At 46.1% G+C, this 14,132-nt stretch overlaps 1 protein-coding gene across 6 annotated transcripts in view; it reads left to right on the plus strand.

Moving 5' to 3' along the window:
• The window catches only part of ZBTB16 (zinc finger and BTB domain containing 16), a 197,060-nt gene that overhangs the window by 83,929 nt on the left and 98,999 nt on the right, over window positions 1–14,132 (plus strand). For all 6 annotated transcript variants that reach the window (NM_001354750.2, NM_006006.6, XM_005271658.6 and 3 more), the window contains one exon: window positions 12,698–12,795. In NM_001354750.2, coding sequence (NP_001341679.1) covers window positions 12,698–12,795 — 98 coding nt within the window. The remainder of the gene's footprint in view (window positions 1–12,697; window positions 12,796–14,132) is intronic.

The raw sequence follows: 14,132 nt of genomic DNA on the forward strand, positions 1-14,132 counted from the left end.
TGTATTGTAAGAGTGGGGCCAACGTCCTTGTGCATTGAGGCTCCAGCCTCTCTTCTCCTCCATGCCATGGACCGTCGCTGCATCATCTAAGCACAGGGCACCCAGGCGGGTAGCACAGGTGGCTTAGCAAATGCAGTCAGAGTCAAGGTTAAGAATCGATCTCTTCATTCTGTTTCAAGATTACATAGCATGCAGTATGTTGTTGGGTATTGTGTTGCACCGTGAGACTGAAAGTGTGGATGTTTCCAGAGAGCCGCTGCTTGGCCTCTGTGCTCGTTGGGCCTCGAGTCACTGGTATTATGCATTTCCTGTGTGCTCGGGAGCCTTGCGTGTAAGGAGCAAGAGGAGCACGCAAGCTGCCTGGTGCTTTTCCCCATGAAAATGAGGCCCAGCAGGGAAGAGGATTCGTATTTGTTGCTTTTATTTTATTTTTCCTTTTATCTCCATGCCCACACGCTTGGACCGTCTCAGCATTGATAAATGTGTGCTCTCACAAACATGCACACAATCCCCTTTCTCTGGCCTGTGTGTTTGCCAGACACACACACACACACACACACACACACACACACACTCCCACGCACACTGGGCATGGACACCAATTGTAAACCTCGTCCGTGTGGCTCACCCTCCTTTTGCCACCAACCCCTGTCCTTTTCACACAAAGCTCCCTGTTGGGAAAACTCATAATTTTCACACCACACAGCCTTGACTGGCCATTGCTGGAATTACTGTCTCTTTGAAGTGCTTTCTACTGGGGCATTTACAGGCCGTTTTAATTACCTGCAGCTTGCAAAGGGCCTTGCTCTGTCCCAGCCTTTGTTTGTTTGTTCTTTGCAAGGAGTCTGTGTAGAAAGGAATACGGCTGACTTCTTTTACAAAAAAGAAAAGGGGGTAGAAAAAGAAGTTTGGGGAGCCCTTAACAGAGCTTCTTGCCGCAGCCTGCTGTGGGACACCATGCCCACTCTAACAAGGCCAGGAAGAGAGGCTCTCGCCCTTGGCTGTCTTCTCAGCAGGTTCCAGCACCGTGGGTCCCACTCCTGGAGCTTGCCTGGGATATTTTTGTTCATGCGTTTATGTTTTAATTATTATTAAGTATATTTTCAAGCTTTCTACCAGAGACAGCAAGGGCTGTCAAATCATGTTTCCCTCACTGTTGACCAAATCAAAGCTGGCTTCAGTTGAGCTGGGATCCCTCTTATATTTTCAACTAAATCTGTTCAAGGAAGGTGCATTATTAAATTATTGAGTTTAGACGTGGGCTGGAGGGTAGGGGTTGAAATCACATATGTGAAAGGAGTGCCCACTTTGAGCTGTCTGGTGTTTTTCTTTCCTTTTCTTCATTTTTCACTTGATTCTCTAAAAGGAACTACATATAAATAGCATTCTTTGGGGTTTCTGTTAAATATGAGTGTAGCATGTCATGTCTGCAGATGAAGATGCTAGTTTACCAAAGAAGCCTCAGAACTGTATCCCCTTTTTGGGGGGCTTTTACAGCAGAGGAAATCTTTATTCATTTATTCACTTAGTCCAAAAATGTATTGAGAAATTGGAAACCTCATACATTGCTGATGGGAATGTAAAATGGTATAGCTGCTTTGGAAAACAGTCTGGCAGTTCCTTAAAAGGTTAAACATAGAGTTACCATATGAGCTGGCAATTCCACTCCTAGGTATATACCCAAGAGAAGTGAAAACATATGTCCACACATAAAACTTGTACACAAATGTTCATAGCAGCATTATTCGTAATAGCCAAAAGGTCAAAACAACCAAATGTCCATCAGCTGATGAATGGATAAACAAAGTATGGTATATCCCTACAGAGGAACAAAGTACTGATACAAGCTATGATAGGAATGAAGCTTGAAAACATGCTGTGTGAGAGAAGCCAGACCCCAAAGGGTGCATATTGTATGATACCATTTATATGAAATGTTCAAAATAGGCAAATCTGTAGAGGAAGATAGTACATATGTGGTTGCCAAAGGCTGGGGGTTGAGGGGAGGAATGGAGAGTGACTGCTAATGAGTACGAGGTTTCTTTTCAGGGTGATGAAAATATTCTGGAATTTGATAGTGATGATGGTTGCACAGTTCTATGAATATGCTACAAACCAGTGAATGGTATACTTGACAAGGATAAATTTTGTGGTACGTGGAAAATACCTCAGTAAAGCTATTTAGAAAAGTGTACTGAATACTTACTCTATACAGCACACCCTGGCATACTCTGAGGTTATAGTGGATGGTTTCTGCCTTAATGTAACTTATAGTCTAGTAGAGATAAAGAATACTAATAAAAAGCTAATATATAACTGAAAATTGTGTTAAATGTTATAAAGGAAATCAACAAAATGCAATGATGGAAAATTGCGTTGATGGACAACCTACCTAGAAGGGCTGTGGGTCAGGAGCAGCCTGACTTTACTGGAGTCCAGCATACGGTAGGCGCTTAACAGATATAGGGTGAGTAGCAGTGGGGCATGAGTCGGCTTGCCTTCCCTGTAGAAGGTTATGAAGTCCCTGCGAGACCCACAGCCTGTCAGTAGACTCTGGGTACCATCATTCAATTTACTTTTTTTCTTAGAGGCCTCTCTGTTCTTGCTTCTATTCAATTAGATGGAGAAAATCCCAGGAATGCTCTCGGTGACTCCTTTTTAGCTGCTGGTTTTCCTGCCCCTTTCAGGGAAAGACTCTGGCTTAGGTAGGAATATGAAGGCAGACCCTGAGGTGAGAAGTCTGGCGAAGTCTGCCTGTTTATAGGGGCAAGTAAGTCATGTGGCCTCACTTTCTCCATCCACAAAATGGGCTCTATACTGTCCATGTCAGCCACAGGGTGGTTGAGATGATCCTCAGGAAGCCCTTTCAAAGTCAGACATGATCTATAAATGCATTACCTTCTTTATCATTAAAACCTCAGTTGGGGCTAGGCACGGTGGCTCATACTTGTAATTCCAGCACTTTGGGAGGCCGAGGCGGGTGGATCGCTTGAGGTCAGGAGTTGGAGACAGCCTGGCCAATGCGGTGAAACCCCCGCTCTACTAAAAATTAAAAAAAAATCAGCTGGGCATGGTGGCTCATGCCTGTAGTCTCAGCTACTCTGGAGGCTGAGGCACGAGAATCGCCTGAACCTGGGAGGCAGAGGTTGCAGTGAGTCGAGATCACGCCACTGCACTCCAGCCTGGGCGATAGAGTGAGATTCTGTCTCAAAAAAAAAAAAAAAAAACCAAAACCTGGGTTGACTAGATGTTCTTTTTTGCATTTTTCTAGAAGAAAGGAAGAAAGAACCAGTAAGGAAGCTAATATCTGTTTGGCTTTTGCTTTTTTTCTTCATTAAAATGACAATAATGTTTACAATGTGATTTGGTACCCGTACAGGTAATCCGTTCAGTCTCTTATCTTGTGTTCATAATTGATGTTTAGAGTGATAGCTCTCCAGCTCAGAATCCTCATAGAAAAGTAATTTAATTTTCAGTGTACCAAAGCAGAAAGAATGAGGCAATATACATTAAAAAGGTTTTCAGAATGGTTTAATTCCAGAGGAACTTTCTTCTTAGGCCTTTAATAAACCTCAGTTATTCTCAACAATCTCTGAGTTTCCATGGCTGGTCCATGGGATCTGAAGGTAGCATTGTGTCTCCCTGGCTAGAGTGGAAACATATAAAAATGATCCTGGATAACCAGGAGACAACATTTCCTTCGCATGTATCCAGGCAGAACAAGGAGATAAAGGAAAAGTCTGTAGCTTTTTGAAAACTGTTTTCCCAGAAATCGGTTATTTGTGCTGGTTAAAAGCCTTGTACGGGAGAGGGAGAACAAAAACCCTGTTCATCCATAACCATAGTTTAATTCCCTTATAGGGCCTTTTAGGATCTGGAGAGAATATTTTGGATTTATTTTTGTTTCCCTTGGGCTGACATCATCAAGCATGCATCATGGTGCCCTGTTTTGGGTTTGGAAAAAGCTCAGAGAAGCTATAAATCTTAAAGCATTTTACTATTTTTTCCTTTTCCTTTTCTAAAAGCACAACTTTTCTGGTCTCTTAAAAGAAAAAGAAAAAGAAAAAACTACAAAAGTATGTATTGATCTCTTCCCCTCGGATCTTAACTGCCCTGGCTGTAATACCTTGCTTACATCTGCCAGGTTTTTGTGCAGTTTTGCAACATCTCCTTAATCCAGTGAGCATAAATAGAACATTTCAATCATATTTGGCTACCAGGAACTTCACAGATAAGCACGCTAAGACCTTGTTGAAAGAGACTGTATGAGATTGTGTGCGATAAGATCATCCTATAGCCCAGTGCACAAATGAAAAACTTTTGTTCTTGGTGAAATTTGTTGATAGAGATATTTCAAATAAATGACTTAGGAGAACTTAGTATTTTAAAACAAAGGACCGGTTACGTAGCAGCCAGAAGCCCAGGCCTCTTGGTTCTCCACAGCCACGAAGATCCCTCCTTGAGCAGTTGCTGCAGGGAGATTAGTGTGCCCCTTTGTCATTTCTGACATTGTGTTTTAGCACTCGCAGGCAGCCTTATCTGCAAGTGCTGTATTCGGTGTGGTCATGGCCCCAGGGAATGCCATTGTCCTTCCTCATATTTTCAAGGCTCAGGACAGTTCCCTCCACTCTTCAGTCAGCTCCAGATTGGCCTTCATCCAGGCCAAGGCAGGATGCATAGGATGCATGGCTGGCTGGCTTCCTTCCTTCCTTCCTTCCTTCCTTCCTTCCTTCCTTCCTTCCTTCCTTCCTCCTTCCCTCCCTCCCTCCCTCCCTCCCTCCCTCCCTCTCTCTCTCTTTCTCTCTCTCTGTCTGTCTGTCTCTCTCTCTCTCTTTCTTTCTTTCTTTCTTTCTTTCTTCTTTCTTCCTTTCTTAGATGGAGTCTCGTTCTGTCACCTAGGCTGGAGTGCAGTGGTACGATCTCGACTTACTGCAACCTCTGCCTCCTGGGTTCAAGCGATTCTCCTGCCTCAGCCTCCTGAGTAGCTGGGACTACAGGCACCTGCCACCATGCCTGGCTAATTTTTTGTATTTTTAGTAGAGACGGGGTTTCACCATGTTAGCCAGGATGGTCTCGATCTCCTGACCTCGTTATCTGCCGGTCACAGCCTCCCAAAGTGTTAGGATTATAGGCGTGAGCCACCGCGCCCGCCTGCCTGGCTTTCTTTCTAAGAACCCCATAGAGAGCTTCTCTTTTGGACAGTAGGGGCAACTGTTTTTTACTGGTGTGTGTGTGTGTGTGTGTGTGTGTGTGTGTGTGTGTATCCGCATGTGTGTGTAGACAAGGTGAGTTTTTTTCCACCTCTACATTTTTCTCTTCCGATTCTCTTTCTTGTTTGTTTGCTCATTCAGTCAACAAAAATGAGCCCCTGCCATGTTCTGAGGTCAGTGATGAAGACTGAGAGGATGAATCTGGTATGGACCCTTATGCAGGAGATATAATCCAGCCAGCACAGACCCATGTCAGCCCCACAGCCTTTCAGTTTTGTAAACCTGGTTGGAAAGAACCTAAGAAATCATCTAGCTCAACCTTTGCATTGTTGCAGAGGTGTCAAGTGAAATCTAGAGAAACTAAGTAGTTTGGCCAAGGTTATTTAATGGATATCTGCAGAGCCAGGTCCCCTGCACTCAGCCCGATGTATATATATGTACACATATATACATGGTCAATATACCACTGTTTTAAAGGTGATTCTTAAGAAAACACAGCTGGTTTGGTATTTTCTCTCTCTCCCTTTAAACGGTTCCAAAACAACCAAATGGCCACTGTCTTCCCTAACTCTCCTGGTCTGGATCCCCAGCAGAGAGGCACCTGCTGTGTGCTCCCAAAACCTGCAGCATGGAAGGTGTTAACTAGCACTCAGTTAGTTCTTGGTTGTTTTTCTTAATCTGTTGTTTGAAATCCTTGGCTTTTATTGGTATATTTACTTTATGGCATACATAAAGAGCTGTATTAAAAAATAAATTGTGTTGTAAAAGCATTCGGTAATGTTTATTAATATTGACTAGTCAGGGAGCAACGAACTCTATTGCTAGAAGGATAATTTGTGGTAATACCCGCTAAGCATTCACAGCTTGTCAAATGACTGTCTAATCTCAACATTAAAAAAAAGTGGGCAAAAGGGTAATTTCCCTTATGCCTTGAGAAAATGAAAGTGACCCATTCCCCAGCCAACATTAGAATGATTGCTTCTTTTTCTCCCCTGGGATACCAGGCCTCCTTTGTGGTTCCAGGCAGTCCCATGGCTAGATTTTAGTGGTTAGGTATCCCTTTGTCTTAGGGTGGTTGGAAATTGCCTTGTTAGCAATAGCTTCTCATATGTCTGTTCTGGCTGCCTGGATCTGTGCTGAGGCCATAAAAGACAGAGATAAAGACATAGTTCTTGCCCCCACAGAGTGTATAGTCTTAAGGAACTTATAAATGGCTTAGTCTTGAATCTTGAACTTAATATTCCTACAAAATACATAAGGAGAATGACACTGGGTGTGACTAATGGCCTACTTAGCCTGGAATGTGGTACTTTTGGTGGCATGAAGAGACATTCCTTGGGAAGACATGATGTCACCCTTAGAAGGAAGGGAACATTCCCCAGAGTATCCCTGATGCCCTATGAATAACATGGTCTGGCTTAGGGTAGAGGCCGCTAGTAGAACAGGCTCTGTTTAGAGTATTCCTTTTACACAAAAAGACACATAGAAAGTACAGGAGAGCTAGTCTGGGCGTGGTGGCTCATGCCTGTAATTTCAGCACTTTGGGAGGCCAAGATGGGAGGATCACTTGAGCCTAGGGGTTCAAGACCAGCCCAGACAACATAGCAAGACCTCGTCTCTATTAAAAACAATTATTTAAAAAAGAAAGTACAGGAGAATGGACTGAATATGGAAACACTCTGCAGTCTCCCTGGAAGTTGCTTTGGGGAGGAAATACTGATAGCCTCATAACTTTGCATTCATCCCTTCCTCTTAAAATTAGAGCACAGAATGCCGTTGACTATTTCACCTTTCCTTTGTCATTTGAATTAAAGGTAAATGGACGTTGAAAGTGTGTTTTTGACTTAAAGGTCTAAGGAGGAAGAGTGAGCCCATTGCTAAAGTACATAAGCTTTCCCTTTACTCAATTCTGTGTCTACTTGGAAAGGTGAATGAGGCTAGGGCAAGGTTCTCTTATCACCGAGCTTAAGAGTCGGTTGCTTTTGCGGCTGAGAGCATTGGCAGAGCTCCATAAAGGGACCTACCTTATGCTGTCCCCACATGGGGCCCAAGGCTGCATGTCAGCACCAACTGCCCAGGTCCTGCTCGACAGGACCAGGAAGTTTGCATGGTGGCTGGGTAAGTAGATGATCTTGGAGAGTGTTGGTTCTCATGGGGGCGGCAGACTTTTTGGAGAAGAGAGGATCATTTAGGTCATGGCTGGGATCTTACAGAATCTCCCGTCTGCTTCCTATCTATTCTGAGTACCCCTCTGAAGCACTGAGAAGGTCAAATTGATGGTCATAGGATCAGAAAGGGGTGGTCATAGGATCAAAAAGCCCAAAGCATCGGGGTGACTTTTGCACTGATGAGGTCAAATTGATGGTCATAGAATCAGAAAGCAAAAACCCAAAGCATTGGGGTGACTTTTGCATGTGGAGTGGCCTCATACCTACAATAGGGTGAGTTGGGAAGGATTATGTACTGCATTGATGTGGTCTGAGTGTTGGTTCAGAGGATGGCTCAGTTAGGCTGAAAACAAGGACAACATCGTCTTATAAATGCCCTTACAGGATGGATTTCCCACTTTATTTTTCCTCATTCAAAGGCGGGAGAGAGCAGTGGGTAGTCCAGCTGTGGAGCCCTCCCATTCACTTTTCCCAATTACAGGTCCTAGTTCCCCATGCTGGTCTTTCCAGCAAAACTCACAGGTCAGACAATTTCAACCCTTGGATTATTGGAACTGAGGTTTCTTTCTCTAAACCTTCCCTGCCTGTTGGTCTGCTCCAACTTGAGCATTTGCCCCTGGGCTCAGGAACCTGGGAAGACATGTGACATTGGCAGTGCTGGGACATGAACCCCTCTCTCTCAGCTAGGTAGTGCTCCTGGGCTTTTCCCTTTGACATCTGCTAGTGCAGTGAGTTCTTCGCATAGCCTTCCCCCCTTGGTCCCTGGCTGCATAGGATGGAAGTGGGCCGAGCTTACCCTGCAGAGAGTAGACATGGTGGATGCCCCCTTGGGGCTCAGCTGTTGTGGTCAGCTCTCTCTGGAAGCTGAAGGTAGGGAGGATGGAGTATGGCTTGGGTCTCTCCTTGCTGCCCTTTATGCTGCTGTTGCTGTTCTAGGTAGGCTAGGTTGATAAAGGCTTACCCTGAAGATGACAGGTTGGTCTAATGGCTTCATGCTTCTATGCAGTAGCCATTAGCCTTCTTTGTATGGACTTTAGGAGCCACAGGACAGGGTCCAGTTTTGAATTGGAGGCTGTCTATGAAGCTGTTGTACTTAGAATATTGTTAGGATGAGCAAAGGAATGCCATAGATGCCACTTTACAGAGAGGGATTTCTCCAGCATCCTTGATCAATCCCTTTTGAACGAGGCCTCATGAGGAAAGGAAATATAGGCACGGTCTCTGCCATTATGGAGTTTGCTCTCTAAACCAGATGAAATCTTTATGAGTTTGCAGACTCACAATAGCACAGAAATGGTTCAAATGATGAGCTTGTATCTTGCTAGCTTCGTTTTACTAGTGAGAGTTGTTTGGTTGAAAACCAGTGAGAAGGAATGAATTCTTCTCTTCAGTTTCTTGTCAAAAGGTTCAGATTTGTTTAGCTTGAATTTCTCATAATGATTCAGCTTTCTTGAGACAATAGAAACTGGTTAGAGGTTAATGTGTTCTTTGTCTTTTTGGACATAAGTGAAAATCTGTTACAAGCAAGGTGAGTTTACCTAATGAGCCACTAAGAGTTGGGGAGAACTTGAGTCTGTTCCCCAGGAATGGAGAGTGAGGACCTGAAGCATATGGGGCAATGGAATCTCCACTGAGTATAGGATGGAGATGCGTGGGCTGTACTAGAACTGGGTTACTTTCAAAATGGTGTTCAGCAAGGTAGCTTCTTCTCAGAGAAGAGTGTGTGAAAACTCTACCACCAACTAAGGCAGTGTGCAGAAAGGTGCAAAAATGTCCCCAGATGTCTTCCTTCCTTTCCTGTCACAGTGGAGGCTGATAATCTCAGATGGCCACGTGCAATTAAACCTTATGAAAAGACAGGACTAGATTGGGAAGATGTGAGTGTGTGGTAAGGAAGAAGGAGGTGGATAGAATTTCCATTTTGATCTAAATGCTTTGCAGTTGCATAATGTGGTGATGGTAGTGGTGGGAGGTTGTGGTCTAAAGAGGGAATAGACTGTGAGTTCACACAAATTTGCACTTTTGCTCCAGGAATCGGTTGGAATTCTATTTCCACATTGGCTGTTCTGCAGACTGTGCCATGGAGAGTCTACTGGTAGCCAGGTACCTCAAATGCACTGAAATCCTCCACCATTATTTTCTTTGAATTAGGAGAAGCCTTCACTTTTCCACATTCTTCCTTTGGTAGATGAACAAGAATTAAAGATACGAGCAAACCAGTGCTGGGCTCTGTTGAACTCCCAGGCCTGTGAGGTTGTTCCCTTTTTCTCTAATGAACTTTATGTGCTTTGCCCAGGTCTCTCTGCCAGTGAGGAAAGACCTTTGCCCTTGTACTTCATGTGAAATCACATGGACACCATATTAATCTCTGGTAACCTGTATGGGGCACTGAGTTAGTGGGTCAGTTGCAGGGCAGTGACCTTACCCTGAGGATTAGACAGGATAGGACATCCGGGTCTCTGAAGGCAGCGAAATGCATGACAACAGAGTCATTCCGAGGACAGGCTGGTGGTAACTTCTGGAAGTTTCTTTCACTGAAAGATAAATAGCAAGTGAGTAAAGGAGGAAACTCAGGCCACTTGGATTAGATTTTAAATGACTAGATTGCTGGGATTGGGTCTAGAGGTTTGCTTGGGCAATCCTAGCCTGGCTGCCTCAGTGTCAGAGGACATCACAATGCACCGTAAGAAGTGGGACGTGGCTCAGGGAGAATAATAGTGCCCCTTAGAGGACCACCTGGTAGGCTAGGTAAAAGGATATGGGTAAGACTTTTGAATGATAAAATTTTGTCTCTATTCAAAATATTTGATGTGATCTTCATCACTTTATAGGTGATCAAACACAGAGAGATTGTGATAGCATGACTTGTCCAAGGTTAATGGCCGAGTCAGGTGGGAGGATGCAGGTCTTCTGGCTGCTGGCTGGGCATTCTTCTTTGTACCCTGCCACCTCTGTAGTAAAAGGGCAAGTGCCTGTCATCTTTCACACCAAGCCAATCCAGTTGGCCACGATAAGCCACTTCCACCAACTGCCAAGCAAATCCATTCATACCTAGAGAAAAGGCAGTGGTGTTACCCAAACCAAGAGTGTTTATCATGGTGAGGGATTTGATTTGGAACCCTCATGGAGAAGAGATGGGAGCCCCAGAGGGGAGTTTAGCCTGGTGGTGGCTCCCAAATCTGAAGACCGGTCACTCTAGTGTCCCTTTGGAAAATAAATCCAAATGGGTGTTCGTCCTCCTATTCCTCTTGACAGCCACCCTTCAGAAGTGGGCACTCCAGGAGCTAACAAACCCCTGGTGAAGAAAAGGATGAAAATAAACTGAAACCCTTATGTTGCCATCCACCAGATTTTGCCATGACTGTGTGCGAGTTCACCTGCCAAACCCCTTATGAATAGAGCCTTTGCCACTCTATAGAAGAACATCTCTTAGAACAGCAAGTATCTATCATGCCCGGGCAAGTGACAGGAATACTCCACCATCGTGTGTGTTTGCATGCACTCACATACCCCTAGGTATGTAGTTTAAAAGATACTTTGTCCAAAATGCTATTAGGACATGTCCCAGTGCCCAACATTGTGAAATCTATTTAGAGTTAAGAATGTTCAGTTAAAATGTTCTGTACTGTTAATATTTCTCAATTTGGGTGGATCAGCATGGCAAGGAGCAAGAGAACATGGGGGGGTGGTACCCCTACAGTGTCATAGATAAGGGTGTGTGTGTGTGTGTATGTTTGTGATTGAGAAATCATTTGTCTTTGGCAAGTGGGGAAAGGGAAAGCATGCAAACAAAACAATGTGATTGAGAAAGAGCTCTGCTGAGAGAACTTTGTGTGATCCCTATCAGAAGGCCGTACACAGTGGATACCATATGCTGGTCCTCATGCTGTGGGAGCCCATTGACTGTGGCTCTAGGGAGGCTCACCTGGGTCCACCACATGGTCTTGACACACTGCTGGGTTCTCATTCTGGGACTTGGAAGGGTGGGTGGCTCGGTTTTGCTACCATCTAGATACTGCCAGCTTGAGTGTGTAATACTCCCTCTCCCCACCTGCAGTTTTATCTGTTGTCAGTACCAGCTCTCCAGCCTTTTACTATGGTCTTAACACATCAACATTTTGATGGAGATAGAGGGCCTTGTTTTCCCTTCTGCCTGCCCCACCGCCCACAGATCCGGCTTCTGGCTGCCACGCCTGCCCTGTCCTGAGGGCCAAGGCCCCTGGGGACGTTGCAGGGATGGCGCAGAGACTGGGGCGGAGGTGGAGGCCAGATCCTGGATCCGGCAATAGCATGTATGGGCCTGACAACAGGAGTGTGGGTGGGCGGCAGCTTGGAGCCTCTCCCCAGTGCTCGGCTCCCTGCTAGCGCACCCGGTTCCCTGCATCTTACCAGCTCCCGTGCTGGCTCGTGACTGAGCTAGGGGTCTGGTGGGAGAGGCCCCGGGTTGGGGGTTGGGAGTTGGGATGGGAGCACTGCTGTAGGTTGGGCCTGTGACCGGTTGTTACTGGGACCTTGGTCTTCCCAGGGGTGATAACATGGGCCTAGCCCACCTCACAGAATCACAGTAATGGCAAAATGAGAGCATGTGTATGAAGAGCTGCAGATGACTATGACCACCCTACATTTATAGAATGATGTTATCCAGTTTCTTGAAACTCTGCTTTCTGTTGGGGCAAGACAGAGGGAAGACACTTCTAAAGCTGGGCCTTAGGGGAAAGGTGTGCATGTTGGGGTGGGTCATTGCAGTCCTAAGAACATCTGGATGCCAGAGAAGTATCTTATGTCTATAAGGGCATCAATTTATTCACAGGCTTATTCAGAGCCTCCTTTGTGTCAGTCACTGTAGTGGAAGTTGGAGGTAGGAGAGAGAAAAGATACAGGTGTAGCCCTCCTGGGTCCCATGGGCTCGTTCACAGTCACCACCCGGGAAAGGCAGTGCTACACAGAGGTGAGCAGAGGCTGTGGGCCTCCTGTGAGGTCTGTGCTAGTTTGACAGTGAGCATTATGTCTGTCTGACTGTCCTGGGTGTTGCATCCTTCCTCCCTCTGGAATTGGATCTGATTTTTTTTCTTGGTCCATGTGTCAGTGGTAAAGCCCGTGGACAAGACCAGGAATGGGTGCTTCACTGGCTGCAGTCCCTGGGCAGAGGGCGTGATTTACGCTGTCTGAGGATCCAGGGATGTGTTTCCATCGGTGCCCTCCTGTTCCCTTCCGCCTGTCACCTGCCAGAGGGATGGCTGCCAAGCCCCCAGGTAGGGGATGGCCCTGCCTCTTGTCCAGCCAGAGCAGCAGCAACCTCTCTTTTCCTTTCCCTTACAGGAAGCTGCACAGTGGGATGAAGACGTACGGGTGCGAGCTCTGCGGGAAGCGGTTCCTGGATAGTTTGCGGCTGAGAATGCACTTACTGGCTCATTCAGGTAGGCAAGTTCGCCTTAGTGGCCCGTTCAGATACAGGCAACCATCTCCTGCTTGCCTTTACCCCTCCTCAGAGCCTGCTGTGGCCTGCATGTCCCCACTGCCCGCTGGGGCCCTGGTCCATCTTGTTCCCTGGACCCTCCCTCCAGGCTTATGACACAGAAGATCCATCCTGATGGCGGGGCCACTTGGATGAACCCACCTTCAAGCTCTCGTGGGTTTCCCAGGCATCAGTGGCAACCAGTGCCCTGTGTGATCTACCTTCCAAAGTAGACTGCAGTTTCATTAGTGGAACAGTTGTGGAATTAGGTTCTCACTGTCTAATGAATCTGACTATTGGGTTCACATTATACAGGAGCCTTTAATTAAATGGATATAGAAAGGTTGGAACACAAAGCTGGTTATAGCGTGCTGTCTTTTGCAAGTTAATTTTATACAATTCTATTGAGGTCGACTGTGTGGCTGCTGGTAATTTTGCTCATGTTTGGGCAAAGCTGCTCTGCCCCACGAGGCGTGGAATGGGGAGAAGCACCTGACATTTGGCAGGCCCGAGTGTTCTTGGTGGAGGGAAGGATCTAGCAGGTCTGATGCGGTGGCTTTGAGGCTTAGGTCACCTGACTTTAGTTGTGGAGGCCTCAACTCTTCTTTGCCAGGTGCATAGTCTCTTCCCTTTAATTCCCTTGCCTTCCAACCTTGGAGTCATTTTTTAGGGGAGAGGAGAGGGCTGTTGTTTCATTTGGTCTTGTCTTCTCCTCATGTAGGCCAAGGCCTGCCTCTCCTTTCCCCATATTGGCTCCAGAAACTGGCCCTCCAGGCAGTTTGGCATTTGGGAAATGGGCTTTGGGGTCAGGCAGAGAAAGGTTCAAATCCTGTTTGTAATATGTGCTGTGTGACCTTAGCTACATTCATCTTGTGAACCTCAGTTTCTGCATCTGTCAAGTGCTGGTGTTGTTAACTTACATAATTTTTTGGAGGATTAAGTGACAGAATATACGTTGAAGGCATCTGTAGTAAGCCCCTGGCATACAGTTGGCATTTAATAAATGTTAATGGTTTCTGCTTGCACCTTCCTCCCTCATCCTTGTTTCTGAGCCTGTTGCCCCGGGGGGCGTGTCCCCATCCGCTCGTTCCCTGCCTGCCTGGCCGTTTAGTACTGTCTTTCCCCTGAGCCCATCATGGGTACAGTCGTGGAAGTGCTCTTCGTTCGCTTTTTCTGCTTCAGCTCCCCACTGCCTTGCTGCAGGGCCCATGTGGTTCCGCATTGTGTTGGATGTGGTCTCTCCCCCGGCCCTCATGGCCCTTCCTAAAGCGTCCTAACTCCTTCTCACTTCCCATTCTT

Source organism: Homo sapiens, chromosome 11, assembly GCF_000001405.40.
Source record: "Homo sapiens chromosome 11, GRCh38.p14 Primary Assembly".
NCBI lineage: Eukaryota > Metazoa > Chordata > Mammalia > Primates > Hominidae > Homo > Homo sapiens.